We start from the raw sequence: 19739 nt of genomic DNA, 5'->3' as shown, positions 1-19739 counted from the left end.
TCTGGAGAACTCTGACTAATACAAGGGATGTTCTAAGTCTTCTAACTCAGTACCATTGCTGGGAATCCTTGCCAAGAGGCAAATGAAAATATATCTAAAGAGAAGACTGAGTCCCCAGGCTTAGTATGAAGAAACAGAGCCAAAATAATGGACTCAAATTAAGCAGCAAGATTTTATAAGATTCATTGATTTCAGTTACCAGCAAATGGAATTCCTTCAAATAAAATTGCTCATCAGTAAAGTTTTAAGGATTAAAAAGTTTAAAGCTAATTGATGCAATTTATATTATTTTTGAATGATTGATATTCTATAGAAGCATCCTGAATTTACTGAAAGCTTTAATTAAAATATGTACATGATTCATATCTTTAGGAGCTTATAATTAGGCTATGTAAAGTTGTGAGGAAATAAATAATGGTACAGAGTAGAAGAGAAAAAAAAGTCCAGAGGGATGAGCAAAGTCGTAGATACTGCAACTGCCAAACAGCCCAGATTTGCTCTAAGCCTGTATCTATACACTTGACATTCAGATTAAAATCAAATCCCACTTTAATGAAATAATTTTATCATCAGTTTCTGTCTTTCCTTATTCAGTAGCTAGCTGGTAATAGCAATATGTTAATAATCTACGTTCAAAGCAAACTTTGAAATAAGGAGTTGTAAAATATAACTTTACTCATGCATCATTACCTTTTTATTAAGCAGATTTTTTAAAAAATCTGTGTCTATTCTTTCTACTATGATTGTATTAGTAAGATAGTCAATGCCTTAGTATCCTGTGGAAAAGATAAGCAAATCCAAGGAAAACAAAAAGGAGAAAGGAATATCTAATTCATAGAATCTCAGAGTGTAGAGGGAAGAGGAAATTTAAATATAGTTTAAATCAACTCCTCTCATTATTAAGATATATATATATATATAAGTAAAGCCCAGATAGATTGGACACATGCATAGAGACAGCAATAGACACAGATATTCGAAGAGTAGAAACTGGAACAGGAGCCAGAAAGACCAGTACAGTCTCACAATTGAAGAAGATACACATACAAACACTCTTAAACTTGTAGAGATGTGCACGCACACACCCACAGACACACACACACACACACTCGCAAACAGATACAAACTCTCTCACACATACAGAGATAAATACACAAACGTGGAAGCTCTTTTTTTTTTTTTTTCAATTTTTTTTTTATTATACTTTAAGTTTTAGGGTACATGTGCACATTGTGCAGGTTAGTTACATATGTATACATGTGCCACGCTGGTGCGCAGCACCCACTAACTCGTCATCTAGCATTAGGTATATCTCCCGATGCTATCCCTCCCCCCTCCCCCCACCCCACGACAGTCCCCAGAGTGTGATATTCCCCTTCCTGTGTCCATGTGATCTCATTGTTCAATTCCCACCTATGAGTGAGAATACGCGGTGTTTGGTTTTTTGTTCTTGCGATAGTTTACTGAGAATGATGATTTCCAATTTCATCCATGTCCCTACAAAGGGCATGAACTCATCATTTTTTATGGCTGCATAGTATTCCATGGTGTATATGTGCCACATTTTCTTAATCCAGTCTATCCTTGTTGGACATTTGGGTTGATTCCAAGTCTTTGCTATTGTGAATAATGCCGCAATAAACATACGTGTACATGTGTCTTTATAGCAGCATGATTTATAGTCCTTTGGGTATATACCCAGTAATGGGGTGGCTGGGTCAAATGGTATTTCCAGTTCTAGATCCCTGAGGAATCGCCACACTGACTTCCACAATGGTTGAACTAGCTTACAGTCCCACCAACAGTGTAAAAGTGTTCCTATTTCTCCACATCCTCTCCAACACCTGTTGTTTCCTGACTTTTTAATGATTGCCATTCTAACTGGTGTGAGATGGTATCTCATTGTGGTTTTGGTTTGCATTTCTCTGATGGCCAGTGATGATGAACATTTTTTCATGTGTTTTTTGGCTGCATAAATGTCTTCTTTTGAGAAGTGTCTGCTCATGTCCTTCGCCCACTTTTTGATGGGGTTGTTTGTTTTTTTCTTGTAAATTTGTTGGAGTTCATCGTAGATTCTGGATATTAGCCCTTTGTCAGATGAGTAGGTTGCAAAAATTTTCTCCCATTTTGTAGGTTGCCTGTTCACTCTGATGGTAGTTTCTTTTGCTGTGCAGAAGCTCTTTAGTTTAATTAGATCCCATTTGTCAATTTTGTCTTTTGTTGCCATTGCTTTTGGTGTTTTAGACATGAAGTCCTTGCTCATGCCTATGTCCTGAATGGTAATGCCTAGGTTTTCTTCTAGGGTTTTTATGGTTTTAGGTCTAACGTTTAAGTCTTTAATCCATCTTGGATTGATTTTTGTATAAGGTGTAAGGAAGGGATCCAGTTTCAGCTTTCTACATATGGCTAGCCAGTTTTCCCAGCACCACTTATTAAATAGGGAATCCTTTCCCCATTGCTTGTTTTTGTCAGGTTTGTCAAAGATCAGATAGTTGTAGATATGTGGTGTTATTTCTGAGGGCTCTGTTCTGTTCCGTTGATCTATATCTCTGTTTTGATACCAGTACCATGCTGTTTTGGTTACTGTAGCCTTGTAGTATAGTTTGAAGTCAGGTAGTGTGATGCCTCCAGCTTTGTTCTTTTGGCTTAGGATTGACTTGGCGATGTGGGCTCTTTTTTGTTTCCATATGAACTTTAAAGTAGTTTTTTCCAATTCTGTGAAGAAAGTCATTGGTAGCTTGATGGGGATGGCATTGAATCTATAAATTACCTTGGGCAGTATTGCCATTTTCACAATATTGATTCTTCCTACCCATGAGCATGGAATGTTCTTCCATTTGTTTGTATCCTCTTTTATTTCCTTGAGCAGTGGTTTGTAGTTCTCCTTGAAGAGGTCCTTCACATCCCTTGTAAGTTGGATTCCTAGGTATTTTATTCTCTTTGAAGCAATTATGCATGGGAGTTCACTCATGATTTGGCTCTCTGTTTGTCTGTTGTTGGTGTATAAGAATGCTTGTGATTTTTGTATATTGATTTTGTATCCTGAGACTTTGCTGAAGTTGCTTATCAGCTTAAGGAGATTTTGGGCTGAGACAATGGGGTTTTCTAGATATACAATCATGTCCTCTGCAAACAGGGACAATTTGACTTCCTCTTTTCCTAATAGAATAACCTTTATTTCCTTCTTCTGCCTAATTGCCCTGGCCAGAACATCCAACACTATGTTGAATAGGAGTGGTGAAAGAGGGCATCCCTGTCTTGTGCCAGTTTTCAAAGGGAATGCTTCCAGTTTTTGCCCATTCAGTATGATATTGGCTGTGGGTTTGTCATAGATAGCTCTTATTATTTTGAAATACGTCCCATCAATACTTAATTTATTGAGAGTTTTTAGCATGAAGGGTTGTTGAATTTCGTCAAAGGCTTTTTCTGCATCTATTGAGATAATCATGTGGTTTTTGTCTTTGGCTCCGTTTATATGCTGGATTCCATTTATTGATTTGCGTATATTGAACCAGCCTTGCATCCCAGGGATGAAGCCCACTTGATCATGGTGGATAAGCTTTTTGATGTGCTGCTGGATTCTGTTTGCCAGTATTTTATTGAGGATTTTTTGCATCAATGTTCATCAAGGATATTGGTCTAAAATTCTCTTTTTTTGTTGTGTCTCTGCCTGGCTTTGGTATCAGAATGATGCTGGCCTCATAAAATGAGTTAGGGAGGATTCCCTCTTTTTCTATTGATTGGAATAGTTTCAGAAGGAATGGTACCAGTTCCTCCTTGTACCTCTGGTAGAATTCGGCTGTGAATCCATCTGGTCCTGGGCTCTTTTTGGTTGGTAAGCTATTGATTATTGCCACAATTTCAGCTCCTGTTATTGGTCTATTCAAAGATTCAACTTCTTCCTGGTTTTGTCTTGGGAGAGTGTATGTGTCCAGGAATTTATCCATTTCTTCTAGATTTTCTAGTTTATTTGCATAGAGGTGTTTGTAGTATTCTCTGATGGTAGTTTGTATTTCTGTGGGATCAGTGGTGATATCCCCTTTATCAATTTTTATTGTATCTATTTGATTCTTCTCTCTTTTTTTCTTTATTAGTCTTGCTAGTGGTCCATCAATTTTGTTGATCCTTTCCAAAAACCAGCTCCTGGATTCATTAATTTTTTGAAGGGTTTTTTGTGTCTCTATTTCCTTCAGTTCTGTTCTGATTTTAGTTATTTCTTGCCTTCTGCTAGCTTTTGAATGTGTTTGTTCTTGCTTTTCTAGTTCTTTTAATTGTGATGTTAGGGTGTCAATTTTGGATCTTTCCTGCTTTCTCTTGTGGGCATTTAGTGCTATAAATTTCCCTCTACACAGTGCTTTGAATGCATCCCAGAGATTCTGGTATGTTGTGTCTTTGTTCTCGTTGGTTTCAAAGAACATCTTTATTTCTGCCTTCATTTCCTTATGTACCCAGTAGTCATTCAGGAGCAGCTTGTTCAGTTTCCATGTAGTTGAGCGGTTTTGAGTGAGATTCTTAATCCTGAGTTCTAGTTTGATTGCACTGTGGTCTGAGAGATAGTTTGTTATAATTTCTGTTCTTTTACATTTGCTGAGGAGAGCTTTACTTCCCAGTATGTGGTCAATTTTGGAATAGGTGTAGTGTGGTGCTGAAAAAAATGTATATTCTGTTAATTTGGGGTGGAGAGTTCTGTAGATGTCTATTAGGTCCGCTTGGTGCAGAGCTGAGTTCAATTCCTGGGTATCCTTGTTGACTTTCTGTCTTGTTGATCTGTCTAATGTTGACAGTGGGGTGTTAAAGTCTCCCATTATTAATATGTGGGAGTCTAAGTCTCTTTGTAGGTCACTCAGGACTTGCTTTATGAATCTGGGTCCTCCCGTATTGGGTGCATATATATTTAGGATAGCTAGCTCTTCTTGTTGAATTGATCCCTTTACCATTATGTAATGGCCTTCTTTGTCTCTTTTAATCTTTGTTGGTTTAAAGTCTGTTTTATCAGAGACTAGGATTGCAACCCCTGCCTTTTTTTGTTTTCCATTTGCTTGGTAGATCTTCCTCCATCCTTTTATTTTGAGCCTATGTGTGTCTCTGCACGTGAGATGGGTTTCCTGAATACACCACACTGATGGGTCTTGACTCTTTATCCAATTTGCCAGTCTGTGTCTTTTAATTGGAGCATTTAGTCCATTTACATTTAAAGTTAATATTGTTATGTGTGAATTTGATCCTGTCATTATGATGTTAGCTGGTTATTTTGCTCGTTAGTTGATGCAGTTTCTTCCTAGTCTCGATGGTCTTTACATTTTGGCATGATTTTGCAGCGGCTGGTACTAGTTGTTCCTTTCCATGTTTAGTGCTTCCTTCAGGAGCTCTTTTAGGGCAGGCCTGGTGGTGACAAAATCTCTCAGCATTTGCTTGTCTGTAAAGGATTTTATTTCTCCTTCACTTATGAAGCTTAGTTTGTCTGGATATGAAATTCTGGGTTGAAAATTCTTTTCTTTAAGAATGTTGAATATTGGCCCCCACTCTCTTCTGGCTTGTAGGGTTTCTGCCGAGAGATCCGCTGTTAGTCTGATGGGCTTCCCTTTGAGGGTAACCCGACCTTTCTCTCTGGCTGCCCTTAACATTTTTTCCTTCATTTCAACTTTGGTGAATCTGACAATTATGTGTCTTGGAGTTGCTCTTCTCGAGGAGTATCTTTGTGGCGTTCTCTGTATTTCCTGAATCTGAACGTTGGCCTGCCTTGATAGATTGGGGAAGTTCTCCTGGATAATATCCTGCAGAGTGTTTTCCCACTTGGTTCCATTCTCCCCATCACTTTCAGGTACACCAATCAGACGTAGATTTGGTCTTTTCACATAGTCCCATATTTCTTGGAGGCTTTGCTCATTTCTTTTTATTCTTTTTTCTCTAACCTTCCCTTCTCGCTTCATTTCATTCATTTCATCTTCCATTGCTGATACCCTTTCTTCCAGTTGATCGCATTGGCTCCTGTGGCTTCTGCATTCTTCACATAGTTCTCGAGCCTTGGTTTTCAGCTCCATCCCAGCTCCTTTAAGCACTTCGCTGTATTGGTTATTCTAGTTATACATTCTTCCAAATTTTTTTCAAAGTTTTCAACTTCTTTGCCTTTGGTTTGAATGTCCTCCCATAGCTCAGAGTAATTTGATCATCTGAAGCCTTCTTCTCTCAGCTTGTCAAAGTCATTCTCCATCCAGCTTTGTTCCGTTGCTGGTGAGGAGCTGCATTCCTTTGGAGGAGGAGAGGTGCTCTGCTTTTTAGAGTTTCCAGTTTTTCTGTTCTGTTTTCTCCCCATCTTTGTGGTTTTATCTACTTTTGGTCTTTGATGATGGTGATGTACAGATGGGTTTTTGGTGTGGATGTCCTTTCTGTTTGTTAGTTTTCCTTCTAACAGAGAGGACCTCAGCTGCAGGTCTGTTGGAATGCCCTGCCGTGTGAGGTGTCAGTGTGCCCCTGCTGGGGGGTGCCTCCCAGTTAGGCTGCTCGGGGGTCAGGGGTCAGGGACCCACTTGAGGAGGCAGTCTGCCCGTTCTCAGATCTCCAGCTGCGTGCTGGGAGAACTACTGCTCTCTTCAAAGCTGTCAGACAGGGACATTTAAGTCTGCAGAGGTTACTGCTGTCTTTTTGTTTGTCTGTGCCCTGCCCCCAGAGGTGGAGCCTACAGAGGCAGGCAGGCCTCCTTGAGCTGTGGTGGGCTCCACCCAGTTGGAGCTTCCTGGCTGCTTTGTTTACCTAAGCAAGCCTGGGCAATGGCGGGCGCCCCTCCCCCAGCCTCGCTGCCGCCTTACAGTTTGATCTCAGACTGCTGTGCTAGCAATCAGTGAGACTCCCTAGGCGTAGGACCCTCCGAGCCAGGTGCGAGATATAATCTCGTGGTGGTGCGCCGTTTTTTAAGCCAGTCGGAAAAGCGCAGTATTCGGATGGGAGTGACCCGATTTTCCAGGTGCCGTCTGTCACCCCTTTCTTTGACTCGGAAAGGGAACTCCCTGACTCCTTGCGAGACGTGGAAGCTCTTTTTAATGTCTGAGGTAAGGATGCATTATTTTCTAATGTATCAAAATATGAAATTTCAATGATTCAGTAAATATGTACCATATTAAGGACCTACCTTAGGCCAGGCACTTTGTTGAGTACTAGAAAATGCAGTACTTGCCAATGTATTTGTCTTTCAAAATAAACAAAACTTGTATGTATAAAGCAAAGGTTATAATTTTTTTTTTATTTTAACTCAGTGTAGCTGTAATAGCAGCCAACATTTATTGAGCAGGTAACACTTACCGGGCACTACATAAAGCACTTTATAATGTTATCTTATTGAATGCTCCTACCCACCCTCTGGAGTAAGCAGTATTACTATCCTAATTTTTGTTGTTCTTGTTTTATTTTATTTGACTTTAAGTTCTGGGATACATGTGCTGAACGTACAGGTTTGCTACATAGGTATACGTGTGCCATGGTGGTTTGCTGCATCTAACAACTCATCATCTAGGTTTTAAGCTCTGCATTCATTAGGTATTTGTCCTAATGCTCACCCTCCTCTTTCCCCTAACCCTAAGACAGGCCCCCGTGTGTGATGTTACCCTCCCTGTGTCCCTGTGTTTTCACTGTTCAGCTCCCACTTATGAGTGAGAACATGCTGTGTTTGGTTTTCTGTTCCTGCGTTAGTTTGCTGAGGATGATGGTTTCCAGCTACATCCATGTCCCTGCAAAGGACATGAACTCATTCTTTTTTATGGGTGCATAGTGTTCCATGGTTTATATGTGTCACATTTCCTTTATCCAGTCTATGATTGATGGGCATTTGGCTTGGTTCCAAGTCTTTCTATTGTAAATAGTGCTGAAATAAACATACATGTACATGTGTCTCTGTAGTAGAATGATTTATAATCCTTTGGGTATATGCCCAGAAATGGGATTACTGAGTCAAATGGTATTTCTGGTTCTAGATCCTTGAGGAATCACCATACTGTCCTCCACAATGGTTGAACTAATTTACACTCCCACCAACCGTGCAAAAGCTTTCCTATTTCTCTGCATCCTCACCAACATCTGTTGTTTCCAGACTTTTTAATGATCGCCATTCTAACTGGCAGGAGGTGATATCTCATTATGGTTTTGATTTGCATTTCTCTAATGACCAGTGATGACGAGCTTTTTTTCATGTTTGTTGGCCACATACCTGTAATCTTTTGAGAAGTGTCTGTTCATATCCTTTGCCCACTTTTCGATGAGGTTGTTTGTTTTTTTCTTGTAAATTTGTTTAAGTTCCTTGTAGATTCTGGATATTAGACCTTTGTCAGAAGGATAGATTACAAAAATTTTCTCCCATGTTTTAGGTTGCCTGTTCACTCTGATGATATTTTATTTTGCTGAGTAGAAACTCTTTAGTTTGATTAGATCCCATTTGTCAATTTTGGCTTTTGTTGTGATTGCTTTTGGTGTTTTAGTCATGAAGTCTTTGCCCATGCCTATGTCCTGAATGGTGTTGCCTAGGTTTTCTTCCAGGATTTTTACAGTTTTAGGTCTTAAATTTAAGTATTCAATCCATCTTAAGTTAATTTTTGTACAGGGTGTAAGGAAGGGATCCAGTTTCTGTTTTCTGCATATGGGTAGCCAGTTTTCTCAGTACCATTTATTTAGTAGGGAATCTTTTCCCTGTTGCTTGTTTTTGTCAGGTTTGTCCAAGAGCAGATGGTTGCAGATGTGTGGCATTATTTCTGAGGCCTCTGTTCTGTTCCATTGGTCAATATATCTGTTTTGGTACCAGCGCCATGCTGTTTTGGGTACTGTTGCCTTGTAGTATAGTTGAAGTCAGGTAGCATGATGCCTTCAGCTTTGTTCTTTTGCTTAGGATTGTCTTGGCTATAAGGGCCCTTTTTTGGTTTCATATGAAATTTAGAGTAATTTTTTTCTAATTCTGTGAAGAAAGTCAATGGTAGTTTGATGGGAATAGCATTGGATCTATAAATTACTTTGGGCAGTATGGCCGTTTTCATGATATAGATTCTTCCTACCCATGAGCATGAATTTTTTTTCCATCTGTTTGTGTCCTCTCTTATTTCCTTGAGCAGTGATTTGTAGTTCTTGAAGAGTTCCTTCACATCCCTTGTAAGTTGTATTTCTAGGTATTTTATTTTATTTGTTGCAATTGTGGATGAGAGTTCACTCATGATTTGGCTCTCTGCTAGTCTATTATTGATGTGTAGGAATCCTTGTGATTTTTGCACATTGATTTTGTATCCTGAGACTTCGCTGAATTTGCTTATCAGCTTAAGGAGATTTTGGGCTGAGACAATGGGGTTTTCTAAATATACAATCATGTCTTCTGCAAACAGAGACAATTTGACTTCCTCTCTTCCTATTTGAATACCTTGTATTTCTTTCTCTTGCTTGATTGCCCTGGCCAGAGCTTCCAATTCTATGTTGAATAGAAGTGGTGAGAGAGGGCATTCTTTTCTTTTGCCGGTTTTCAATGGGAATGCTTCAGATTTTGCCCATTTGATATGATGTTGGCTGTGGGTTTTTCATAAATAGCTCTTATTATTTTGAGTATGTTCCATCAATACCTAGTTTATTGAGAGTTTTTAGCATGAAGTGGTGTTGTATTTTATTGAAGGCCTTTTCTGAATCTATTGAGATAATCATGTGGTTTTTTGTCATTGGTTCTGTTTATGTGGTGGATTATGTGTATTGATTTGTGTATGTTGAACCAGCCCTGCATCCCAGGGATGAAGCCAACTAAGTTTCATAAGTGAAGGAGAAATAAAATATTTTACAGACAAGCAAATGCTGAGGGATTTTGTCACCACTAGTCCTGGCTTACAAGAGCTCCTGAAGGAAGCACTAAATATGGAAAGGAAAACAGTAACAGCCACTGCAAAACACACCAAAGTATAAAGAACAAGAACACTATGAAGAACTACATCAACTAATTTGCAAAATAATCAGCTAGCATCATGATGACAAGATCAAATTCACACATAACAATATTAACCTTAAATATAAATGGGCTAAATTCCCCAGATAAAAGTCAAAGACTGGCAAATTGGATGAATAGTCACAACTCATCGGTGTGCTGTATTTAGGAGACCCAACCCATGTGCAAAGACACACACAGGCTCAAAATAAAGGGATGGAAATGGAAAGCAAATGGAAATGGAAATGGAAACCAAAAAAGCAGGGATTGCAATCCTAGTCTCTGATAAAACAGACTTTAAACCAATAAAGACCAAAACACAAAGAATGGCATCAATGTAACAAAGTAAAGGGATCAATGCAACAAGAAGAGCTAACTGTTGTAAATATATATGCACCCAATACAGGAGCAGCCACATCCATAAAGCAAGTTCTTAGAGACCTACAAAGAGATTTAGACTCTAGTGACCTACAAAGAGACTTAGACTCCCAGACAACAATAATGGGAGACATTAACACCCCACTGTCAATATTAGACAGATTGAGACAGAAAATTAACAAGGATATTCAGGACTTGAACTGACCTCTGGACCAAGCAGACCTAATAGATATCTACATAACACTCCACCACAAATCAACAGAATATATATTCTTCTCAGCACTGCATAGCACTTATTCTAAAATTGACCACATAATTGGAAGTAGCACACTCCTCAGCAAATATAAAATAATGGAAATCATAACAAACAGCCTCTCAGACCACATGCAACCAAGTTACAACTCAGGACTAAGAAACGCACTATAAACTACACAACTACATGGAAACTGAACAACCTGCTCCTGAATGACCACTGTGTAAATAACAAAATTAGACAGAAATAATGAAGTTCTTTGAAATCAATGAGAACAAAGAGACAATGTACCAGAATCTCTTGGACACAGCTAAAGCAGTGTTTAGAGGGAAATTTATAGCAGTAAATGCCCACATCAGAAAGCACGAAACATCTTAAATCAACACCCTAACATCACAATTAAAAGAACTAGAGAAGCAAGAGCAAACAAATTCAAAAGCTAGAAGAAGACAAGAAATAACTAAAGTCAGAGCAGAATTGAAGGAGATAGAGACATGAAAAACTTTTCAAAAAATCGATGAATCCAGGAGTTGGTTTACTGAAAAAATTAGAAAAATAGATAAACTGCTAACTAGACTAATAATGAAGAAAAGGGGGAAGAATCAAATAGACACAGTACAAAATGATAAAGTGGATATCACCACTGACCCCACAGAAATACAAACTACCATCAGAGAATACTATAAACACCTCTACACAAATAAACTAGAAAATCTAGAAGAAATGATTAAATTCCTGGACATATACACCCTCCCAATACTAAATCAAGAAGAAGTCAAATCCTGGAACAGACCAATAATAAGTTCTGAAATTGAGGCAGTAATTAATAACCTACCAATGAAAAATAAGCCCAGGACCAGACAGATTCACAGGCAAATTCTACCAGAGGTACAAAGAGGAACTGGTACCATTCCTTCTGAAACTATTCTAAACAATAGAAAAAGAGGGACTCTTCCCTAACTCATTTTATGAGGCCAGCATCATCCTGATTCCAAAACCTGCCAGCATCATCCTGATTCCAAAACCTGGCAGAGATACAACAAAAAAAGAAAATTTCAGGCCAATATTGCTGATGAACATCGATGCAAAAATCCTCAAAACAACACTGGCAAACCAAATCGAGCAGCACATCAAAAAGCTTATCCACCACAATCAAAGTTTATATTAAGTTTACCTGTACTTTAAGGGTATGATTTCTAATTTTGACTAAAGTCTAATTTTAAAGGAATAAAATATATTCTAAAATAATATTTTCAGAAAATTGAAGTTGTCGACATGAGTAACATGCCATGCTAAAATTTCTTTTAGGAAAAGGCAAATTAAGTTAGAGGTTTAACCAGTCTGGCCAACATAGTGAAACCCCGTCTCTACTAAAAATACAAAAAATTAGCCGAGTGTGGTGGTGATGTGCACCTGTAATCCCAGCTACTCGGGAGGCTGAGGCAGGAGAAACACGTGAACCCGGGAGGCAGAGGTGGCAGGGAGCGGAGATCGCGCCACTGCACTCCCGCCTGAGCAACAGAGCGAGACTCCATCTCAGAAAAAAAAAAAAAAAGAACTTCAAAGCAGAAAGAAGTCACCTATGGTCAGAAAAGTGAGACCTACAATTTGACCATGAGCAAGAGAGCAACTGAGATAGAGTAGACAAATGTGCGCTGATATCTGTGGGAAAAAATTGGGAGCTGGGGTTGTGCCAGCGCATAAGGGGTAGTAATAATTAGCAGAGTGATGAGAAAGGTTTTAGAAATTACAGTAGGGTTACATCCTGGAAGGTCTTTGAAGTTATTTTAAATTTTCATTTTAATTATGTGAAGAATCTGAAGGCCTGTGATCTGTGGACTCAGAATCCAAGTGGCTTTAGAACACTTAATCTGGCAGTCATCTGTGGAATAGATCAAAATGGGAGAAACTGGATGCACACAAATGAATTTTATACCTATTGCAAAGGTCCAGATTAATAAATTTTTATGTTATTACTTCTTATGAGTTTCAATGAAAGAGGATGTAATTTAATATAAAATGATACCCTGGTTCACGTAAACTGGATATTTTATAGTAAACTTCTAAACATCAAACATTTAGTGTTTTAGGAATGTCAAAAGCTGTAATAAAAAATCAATGCAATATTAAATCTCCTATTCTACATTATAGCAAACTCATAACTACTATCAACTAAATGCTTTGAAAGTTCTTTAAGGAACATTATAATAGAGTTTTTAATGGGAAAAAAAGAAGGTCAGTTTCACAGCAAGAGAGGTCTCCACCAAATGATAGGAGAAATTTACAGTTCACTGCCTTTTCTATAGTGCATTTTTTGCTTCTATTTCTTACTTGAGTTTGGGACAGATAACAATGGCGGGTGGAGGTAGCAAAGGTCAAATTGCTTTGAAGGTGATGAACTAAATCATTATTGAGAAAAAAGAAATAATAGAAAAGGCATGAGGAGTATCTCCAGGGACAGAAATCTTAAAATAAACTATTTGCAGCTGTACTACACAAAAACTGGATTTCTATTCTCATAATTTTGCAATCAATCCTTGAATATCTACTCTAATTGGGGAAGTAGTGACAAATTCATTTCTAATTCATTTGTATGAGATGACTGACTCAAGGGCACTTGATAATATTCATAGCCTATTGAGATTCTCAGAGGACCGTGTTCTGATGATCTAATACCAGTATTCCAGTACCGATTTTTAGTTCTCTTAGAATGTCCTTGAGAAAACTGCAAAAAGGAGTGAATAAGGCAGACAAAAGAATATTCCATTTTAATTCATTAACTATAGAAAATAGTACATACATGTCAACATCAACTAAAATACCATTTCGCAGGGCTGTCCTGAAATGTGCTACCTAGACAAAGTTGGGGATTAAATTTTCGAATGGAAACAGGTGATCTTCTAAAAACTTACATAAAATAAAATCTAAATCAACTTATTATATGATGAATTATAGGGTATATATGTCGATTCACAATCCAACTTCAGATACCTACAAATTTTACCATTTCCCATATTTAGATCAGTTATATTTGCAGAAAGTAATCTGTAAGGAGGAGTGAGCTCTCTTTCATTTTACATAGATAAGTATATGTATGTTATTCACAAGTCAATTTTCAATTCTGTTGAAAGTTGTGTATTCTAATTTGAGAAAACAATATGTCAATAATTTGCCTAATAATTTTGCCTAATACTTTGCATACAGTTTGAAGAAGTTCAACAATAACCTAAAATCCTCACCAGTCAAACAGTGAAATTTTTTGTCCCAGGCCTATGGCCTTCAGTTGCAGCCAATGCTTCCCAAATGTTAGGAGGGCCTTGTGTTTTGGAGAGCAGATTTTATCTAAACTTGCCTATCTTCCAGTATGGATAACTGAGAAATGAAAATAATTTTGGTCATATTCATAATTACAAAACAATACTGACATCAACACTTAAAGATTTTATTAAACTTCTTTGTTTAAAATAAGCCTTTTGTTAAAAATAAGTAGGTGAAATAAGTCCGTTGTTTTTTAAGCCATGGATAAAAAAGAAAACGACAGATGTTTTAAATTATGTAATCCAAAGTTGTAAATTTACTATGAAGTTTTCCCTAGGATATGAAGCTCTTAAGAATAAACCTGCTCTAACTAATGTAGTGCTTTTTAATGATGTAGTTCTCTTCAAACAAGCTAGCACTGCTTTTCAGAAAGTAATCCAAAAGTGCCAGCTCTCTCATGCACTTGTCTTTCTCTTCTCTCTCTCTCACTCTCTCTCTCTGTCTGTCTCTCTCTCTGAGTTTAGGTTCGTTATCAGTTTTGGACATCATCTTTATTTATATCTAGCTTTGTGACATACAGGACAATACCTATCTGGGAATCCTAGAGGAAGGGTAAATATGGGAATTTCACCTCTGAGGGAAAACTCGCCAGTGCCCTTGATGTTGTTATCACTGACTTGCCAAAGTGACTAGTCCTCAAAGCAGTTGGAAGATAGTTGAAAAGTAGAAACCCCACTTTGCAAATGTCAAAGTGAACTTTTTGCACCTTTGATGGGATCCGTATACAGGTCAAATGACATCAGAAGCATTGGGATCTGAAGTAGGAAGCTTTTCCTTCCACCTGGGGGTGTTGCTCTGTCTCCTGAGGGCCTTTCTTGCATAGAGAGGAATGTGTGCCTGGGATTTTTGCAATATCTTTCTTAATCATTGCCACCTTGTGATAATGCAGTTGCATATATGTTTTAATGCAAACTAGAAAAATGCTGGCATTCCATTCATAGTAATAATATAAAGTTCAATTTTAAGATATGCAAAAATAGCAATAATATGAAGAAAAATATTAAGTAAATAAAAGTGCAAGTGGTATAAAGACATGGTAAAAATGTCATTGTTTTACCTGAAGAACTGAAATTTGGAAAAGTGATGCAACATTTTTTCAACTGAGGTTTTTCTTCTGGTCCACCACGTTATTCAAATAACTCCTTCTATTTTCTTGATAGTGGTTTCCTCTCTTTACCTGTGCTTCTCAAGAAGTATGCTCCTCTTCTCATTATCCTATATGTGGTGCCAAAACAAAATATAACAAAACAAAAAAGAAACAAAAAACATTGACCCTATGCTATGGTCTGAATATGTGTGTCCCCCTAAAATTCATATGTTGAAAATGGATCCCCAATGTGATGGTATTAAGAGGCAGGGCTTTTGGGAGGTGATTAGGTCATAAAGGCAGAGCTCTCATGAGTAAGATTGGTGCTCTTATAGAAGAGGCTCAAAGGAGCTTGTTTGCTCCTTTGTGAGGAGCATGTTTGCACCATGTGAGGACAGAGTTAGAAAGTGCCATGTATGAAAGAGGAGATGACCTCTCAACAGACATTGCATCTGCCAGTGCTTTGATCTTAGACTTTCCAGGCTCCATAACTGTGACAAACAAATTTTCTCTTTATAAATGCATCAATTTATGGCATTTTGTTGTAGAACTCCAAACAGACTAAGACACTCTATTTTCTCAAAACATATGAATTAATTTTCCCTTTGTGATACCTGCTATTCACTTTAAGCACCTGTTATCTCTCTCTCAGACCAATCCTCTATTCCTCTGCTGGTCCCTGAAAGTCCAGGCATTTCTCTATTTCAGACTTCAAGTCATCTGTTTTCACAAAAGTACTTAATAGTACAGATCAAATAGTACAGAGAACATTTGAAATATTTTTACCTGGTCCTTACCATGTGTGTATCAATTCTCTGGACATCCCCCAAACCTTCATCTCCAACCATACTTAGTACTTGCTTCTCAAAACATCCGATGCACTTTCATAACTTTGCTTCTACATGAAATGCACAATCTCTTTCTTCTGTCTGGTGCACCCTGACTTTTTCTTCATGACTACCTCTTTAAAGAATTCATTCATGATTGTCTAGGTCATAATATGTACTGTCTTCTTAGCCTCCACAGCACTGTAAGTAATTTTTCACATCCATTTTTCATTTACATTGAATTTATTTAGATTCCCTTTGCTTTAATATTTTTAATTTTCCTTTTTTATTTTTTGTGAGTATGTAGTAGGTATATATATTTATGGGTACATGAGATGTTTTGATACAAGCATGCAAAGTGAAATAAGCACATCATGGAGAATGGGGTATCCATCCTCCCAAGCACTTATCCTTTGAGTTATGAACAATCCAATTACACTCTTTAAGTTATTTTAAAACATTCAATTAGTTATTATTGACTATAGTCACCTATTGTGCTATATCTTATTCAAGTATATATTATTTACTCATTCATGAATAGTATGTCTTATTCATTCTTTCTATTTTTTGTACCCATTAACTATCCCCACCTGACCCCACCCCCCACTACCGTTCCCAGCATCTGATCACTATCCTTCTACTCTTTATCTCCATGAGTTTAATTGTTTTAATTTTTAGATCCCACAAATAAGTGAGAAGATGCGATATTTTTCTATGCCTGGCTTATTTCACTTAACATAATGATCTCCAGTTCCTTCCATGCTGTTGCCAATGATTGGATCTAATTATATTTTTATGGCTGAATAGTACTCCATTGTGTATATGTACCACATTTTCTTTATCCATTTATCTGTTGATGGACACTTAGGTTGCTTTCAAATCTTAGCTATTGCAAACAGTGCTTCAACACATATAGAAATGCAGATGTCTCTTCAATATACTGATTTCCCTTCTTTCAGTTATATACCCAGTGGTGGGATTTCTGGATAATATGGTAGCTCAATTTTTAGTTGTTTGAGGAACCTCCAAACTGTTCTCCATAGTGCTTGCACCAATTTACATTCCTCCCAGCAGTGTACAAGTGTTCCCTTTTCTCCATGTACTTGCCAACATTTGTTAATGCCTGTCTTTTGGATATAAGCCATTTTTATCTTTGGTGACATGATATCTCTTTATAGTTTTGATTTGCATTTCTCTGTTGATCAGTGATGTTGAGCACGTTTTCATATGCCTGTTTGTTATTTGTATGCCTTCTTCTGAGAAATGTCTATTCAAATCTTTTGCCCAAATTTTGGCCAAATTCTTAGATTTTCTTTTTTTCTATAGAGTTGTTTGAGTTCCTTATATCTTCTGGTTACGAATCTCTTGTCAGAAGGGTATTTTGCAAATATTTTCTCTCATTCTCTGGGTTGTCTCTTCACTTTGTTGATTGTATTCTTTGCTGTGCAGAAGCTTTTTGACTAGATGTGATTCCATTTGTCTATTTTTGCTTTGGTTGCCTGTGTTTGTTGGGTATTGCTCAAGAAATCTTTGCCCAGACCTATGTCCTGGAGATTTGCCCCAATGTTTTCTAGGAGTAGTTTTATAATTTGAGGCCTAATATTTAAGTCTTTAGTCCATTTTTATTTGATTTTTGAAAACGGTGAGTTAGTTATCTAGTTACATTCCTCTGTGCATGGATATTCACTTTCTGCAGTACCATTTATTAAGGAGACTGTCTTTTCCACATTGTATGTTCTTGACACCTTTGTCAAAAATAGTTTCACTGTAGGTGTGTGTATTTTTTTCTGAGTTCTGTATTCTGTTCCATTGGTCTGTGTGTCTGTTTTTATGCCAGTACCACACTTTTGGTTACTACAGTTCTGTAGTATAATTTGAAGCCTGGTAATGTGATTCTTCCAGTTTTGTTCTTTTTGCTCAGAATATCTTTAGCTATTCTGGGTCTTTTGTGATTCCGTATAAATTTTAGAATTGTTTTTTCTATGTCTGTGAAAAAATGCCATTGGTATTTTGATAGGGATTGCATTTAATCTATAGATTGCTTTGAGCAATATGGACTTTTTAACAGTACTGATTCTTTAAATCCATGAACATGAAATATTTTTTCATTTTTTGGAGCTCTCTTCAATTCCTTTAATCAGTGTTTTATAGTTTAGATTATACAGATCTTTTACTTCTTTGGTTAATTCCTTTGGTTAAACTTCTTTGGTTAATTCTTTGGTATTTAATTTTATGTGGGACTACTGTAACTGGATTATTTTTATTTCTTTTTCAGATCATTCATTGTTTGTATACAGAAATGCTACTGTTTTGGGGTTGATTTTGTATTCTGCAAATTTGCTTTATTTGTTTATCAATTCTAACAGATTTCCTGTGTAGTCTTTAGGCTTTTCCAAATATAAGATCATATCATCTGCAAACAAGGATAATTTGACTACTTCCTTTCTAAGTAGATGTCCTTTATATCCTTCTTTTGTCTGATTTGCTTTAGCTAGGATTCCACTAATATGTCGAATAATACTGGTGACAGTGGGCATTCTTGTTGCATTCCAGATCTTAGAGGTAAGCCTTTCAGTTTTTCACATTCACTATGATACTAACTGTGGGTCTGTCATATATGAATTTTATTATTTTGAGGTATGTTTCATCTATTCTCAGTGTTCTGAGGGTTTTTATCATGAAGGGATGTTGAATTTTATCAAATACTCTTTCAGAAATGATTGAAAATATCATATGGTTTTTAGTCTTTATTCTGTTGATATAGTATACATTGATTAGTATATGCTGAATCACCTTTGCATCTCAGGGATCAATGCGACTTGCTCATGATAAATGATCTTTCTAATGTGTTGTTGAAATCAGTTTGCTAGTATTTTGTTGATGGTTTTTACTTCAATATTTATCAGAGACATTGGCTTGTCATTTGTGTGTGTCAGGGGTGTGTGTGTGTCTGGTTTTGGTATCAGGGTAATATTGGCCTTGTGGAATGGGTTTGGAAGTATCCCTCCTCCTGTATTTTTTGGAATAGCTTGGGTAAGGTTAGTATTAGTTTTTCTTTGAATGTTTGCTAGAATTCAGAATGATGTTATTGGATCTTTCCTGGGAGAATTGTTATTACAGCTTCGACCCCATTACTTCTTATTAGTCTGTTGAGGTTTTGAATTTCTTCCTGGCTTAGTCTTGGTAGGTTGTATGTACCTAGGAATTTGTTCATTTCTTCCAAATTTTCAAATTTATTGACATATCATTGTTCATATTAGCCACTAATGATTCTTTGAATTTCTGTGGTCTCAGTTGTAATGTCTCCTTTTTCATATCTGATTAATTTATTTGAATCTTCTCTCTTGCTCTTTTTTTTTTTTTTTTTTTGCTTAGTCTAGCTAAGGGTTTTTTCAATTTTGTATAACTTTTGAAAAGACCAACATTTTGTCTCATTGATACTTTGTATTCCTTCTTCATTTCAATTTCATTTATTTCTGCTCTATCTTTATCACTTCTTTTCTTCTACTAATATTGGGTTTGATTTGCTCTGGCTTTTCTAGTTCTTCAGGATGCATCATTAGATTGTTTATTAGAAGTTTTTCCCCCGGTTTTTTTTTTTTTTTTTTTTTGATGTAGACACTTACAGCTATAAAATTGCCTCTTAGTACTGCTTTTGCTATAGTCCATAGATTTTAGTATGTTGTGCTTGCAATACCATTTGTTTCTAGACATTTTTCAATTTCCTTCTTAATTTATTTATTGACCTTGTCAATTTTATTGACTGGTCATTCAGGAGCATATTGTTTAATTTCCATTCATTTGTGTAGTTTCAAGTATTCCTCTTGTTATTAATTTCTAGTTTTATTCCATTTTGGTCAGGGAAGGTGTTTGTTATTATTTCCGTTTTTTGAATGCTTTAAGAGTTATTTTGTAACCTAGCATATGGTTTATCCTTGAGAA

General features: G+C 36.9%; 1 long non-coding RNA gene across 1 annotated transcript in view, besides 3 other annotated features; it reads right to left on the bottom strand.

Moving 5' to 3' along the window:
- Window positions 1–15907, bottom strand: part of LOC105377913 (uncharacterized) — a 64390-nt gene extending 48483 nt beyond the window's left edge. Inside the window, exons 1-2 of the long non-coding RNA XR_942820.3 lie at window positions 15768–15907; window positions 14941–15098 (exon numbers count right to left, since the gene is read on the bottom strand). This is a non-coding gene — a long non-coding RNA (uncharacterized LOC105377913). The remainder of the gene's footprint in view (window positions 1–14940; window positions 15099–15767) is intronic.
- Window positions 6178–6794: an enhancer, noted in NCBI's record as "NANOG-H3K27ac-H3K4me1 hESC enhancer chr6:102617965-102618581 (GRCh37/hg19 assembly coordinates)". NCBI's record gives its function as "activates a minimal SCP1, AML or CMV promoter by ChIP-STARR-seq in naive and primed H9 embryonic stem cells {active_cell/tissue: H9 hESC(naive and primed)}" and the evidence as "EXISTENCE:reporter gene assay evidence [ECO:0000049][PMID:30033119]".
- Window positions 6795–7412: an enhancer, noted in NCBI's record as "NANOG-H3K27ac-H3K4me1 hESC enhancer chr6:102617347-102617964 (GRCh37/hg19 assembly coordinates)". NCBI's record gives its function as "activates a minimal SCP1, AML or CMV promoter by ChIP-STARR-seq in naive H9 embryonic stem cells {active_cell/tissue: H9 hESC(naive)}" and the evidence as "EXISTENCE:reporter gene assay evidence [ECO:0000049][PMID:30033119]".
- Window positions 12136–12305: an enhancer, noted in NCBI's record as "experimental_87080 CRE fragment used in MPRA reporter constructs". NCBI's record gives its function as "activates a minimal promoter by MPRAs in K562 erythroleukemia cells, with activity observed for both the introgressed and non-introgressed 6:102612539 variant alleles {active_cell/tissue: K562}" and the evidence as "EXISTENCE:reporter gene assay evidence [ECO:0000049][PMID:34662402]".
- Window positions 15908–19739: the final 3832 nt, after the last annotated feature.

The sequence above is a fragment of the Homo sapiens genome, chromosome 6 (assembly GCF_000001405.40).
Source record: "Homo sapiens chromosome 6, GRCh38.p14 Primary Assembly".
Taxonomy (NCBI): Eukaryota; Metazoa; Chordata; class Mammalia; order Primates; family Hominidae; genus Homo; species Homo sapiens.
Note: the sequence above shows the minus strand (reverse complement) of the source record. Positions and strands in the feature narration are given on the sequence as shown.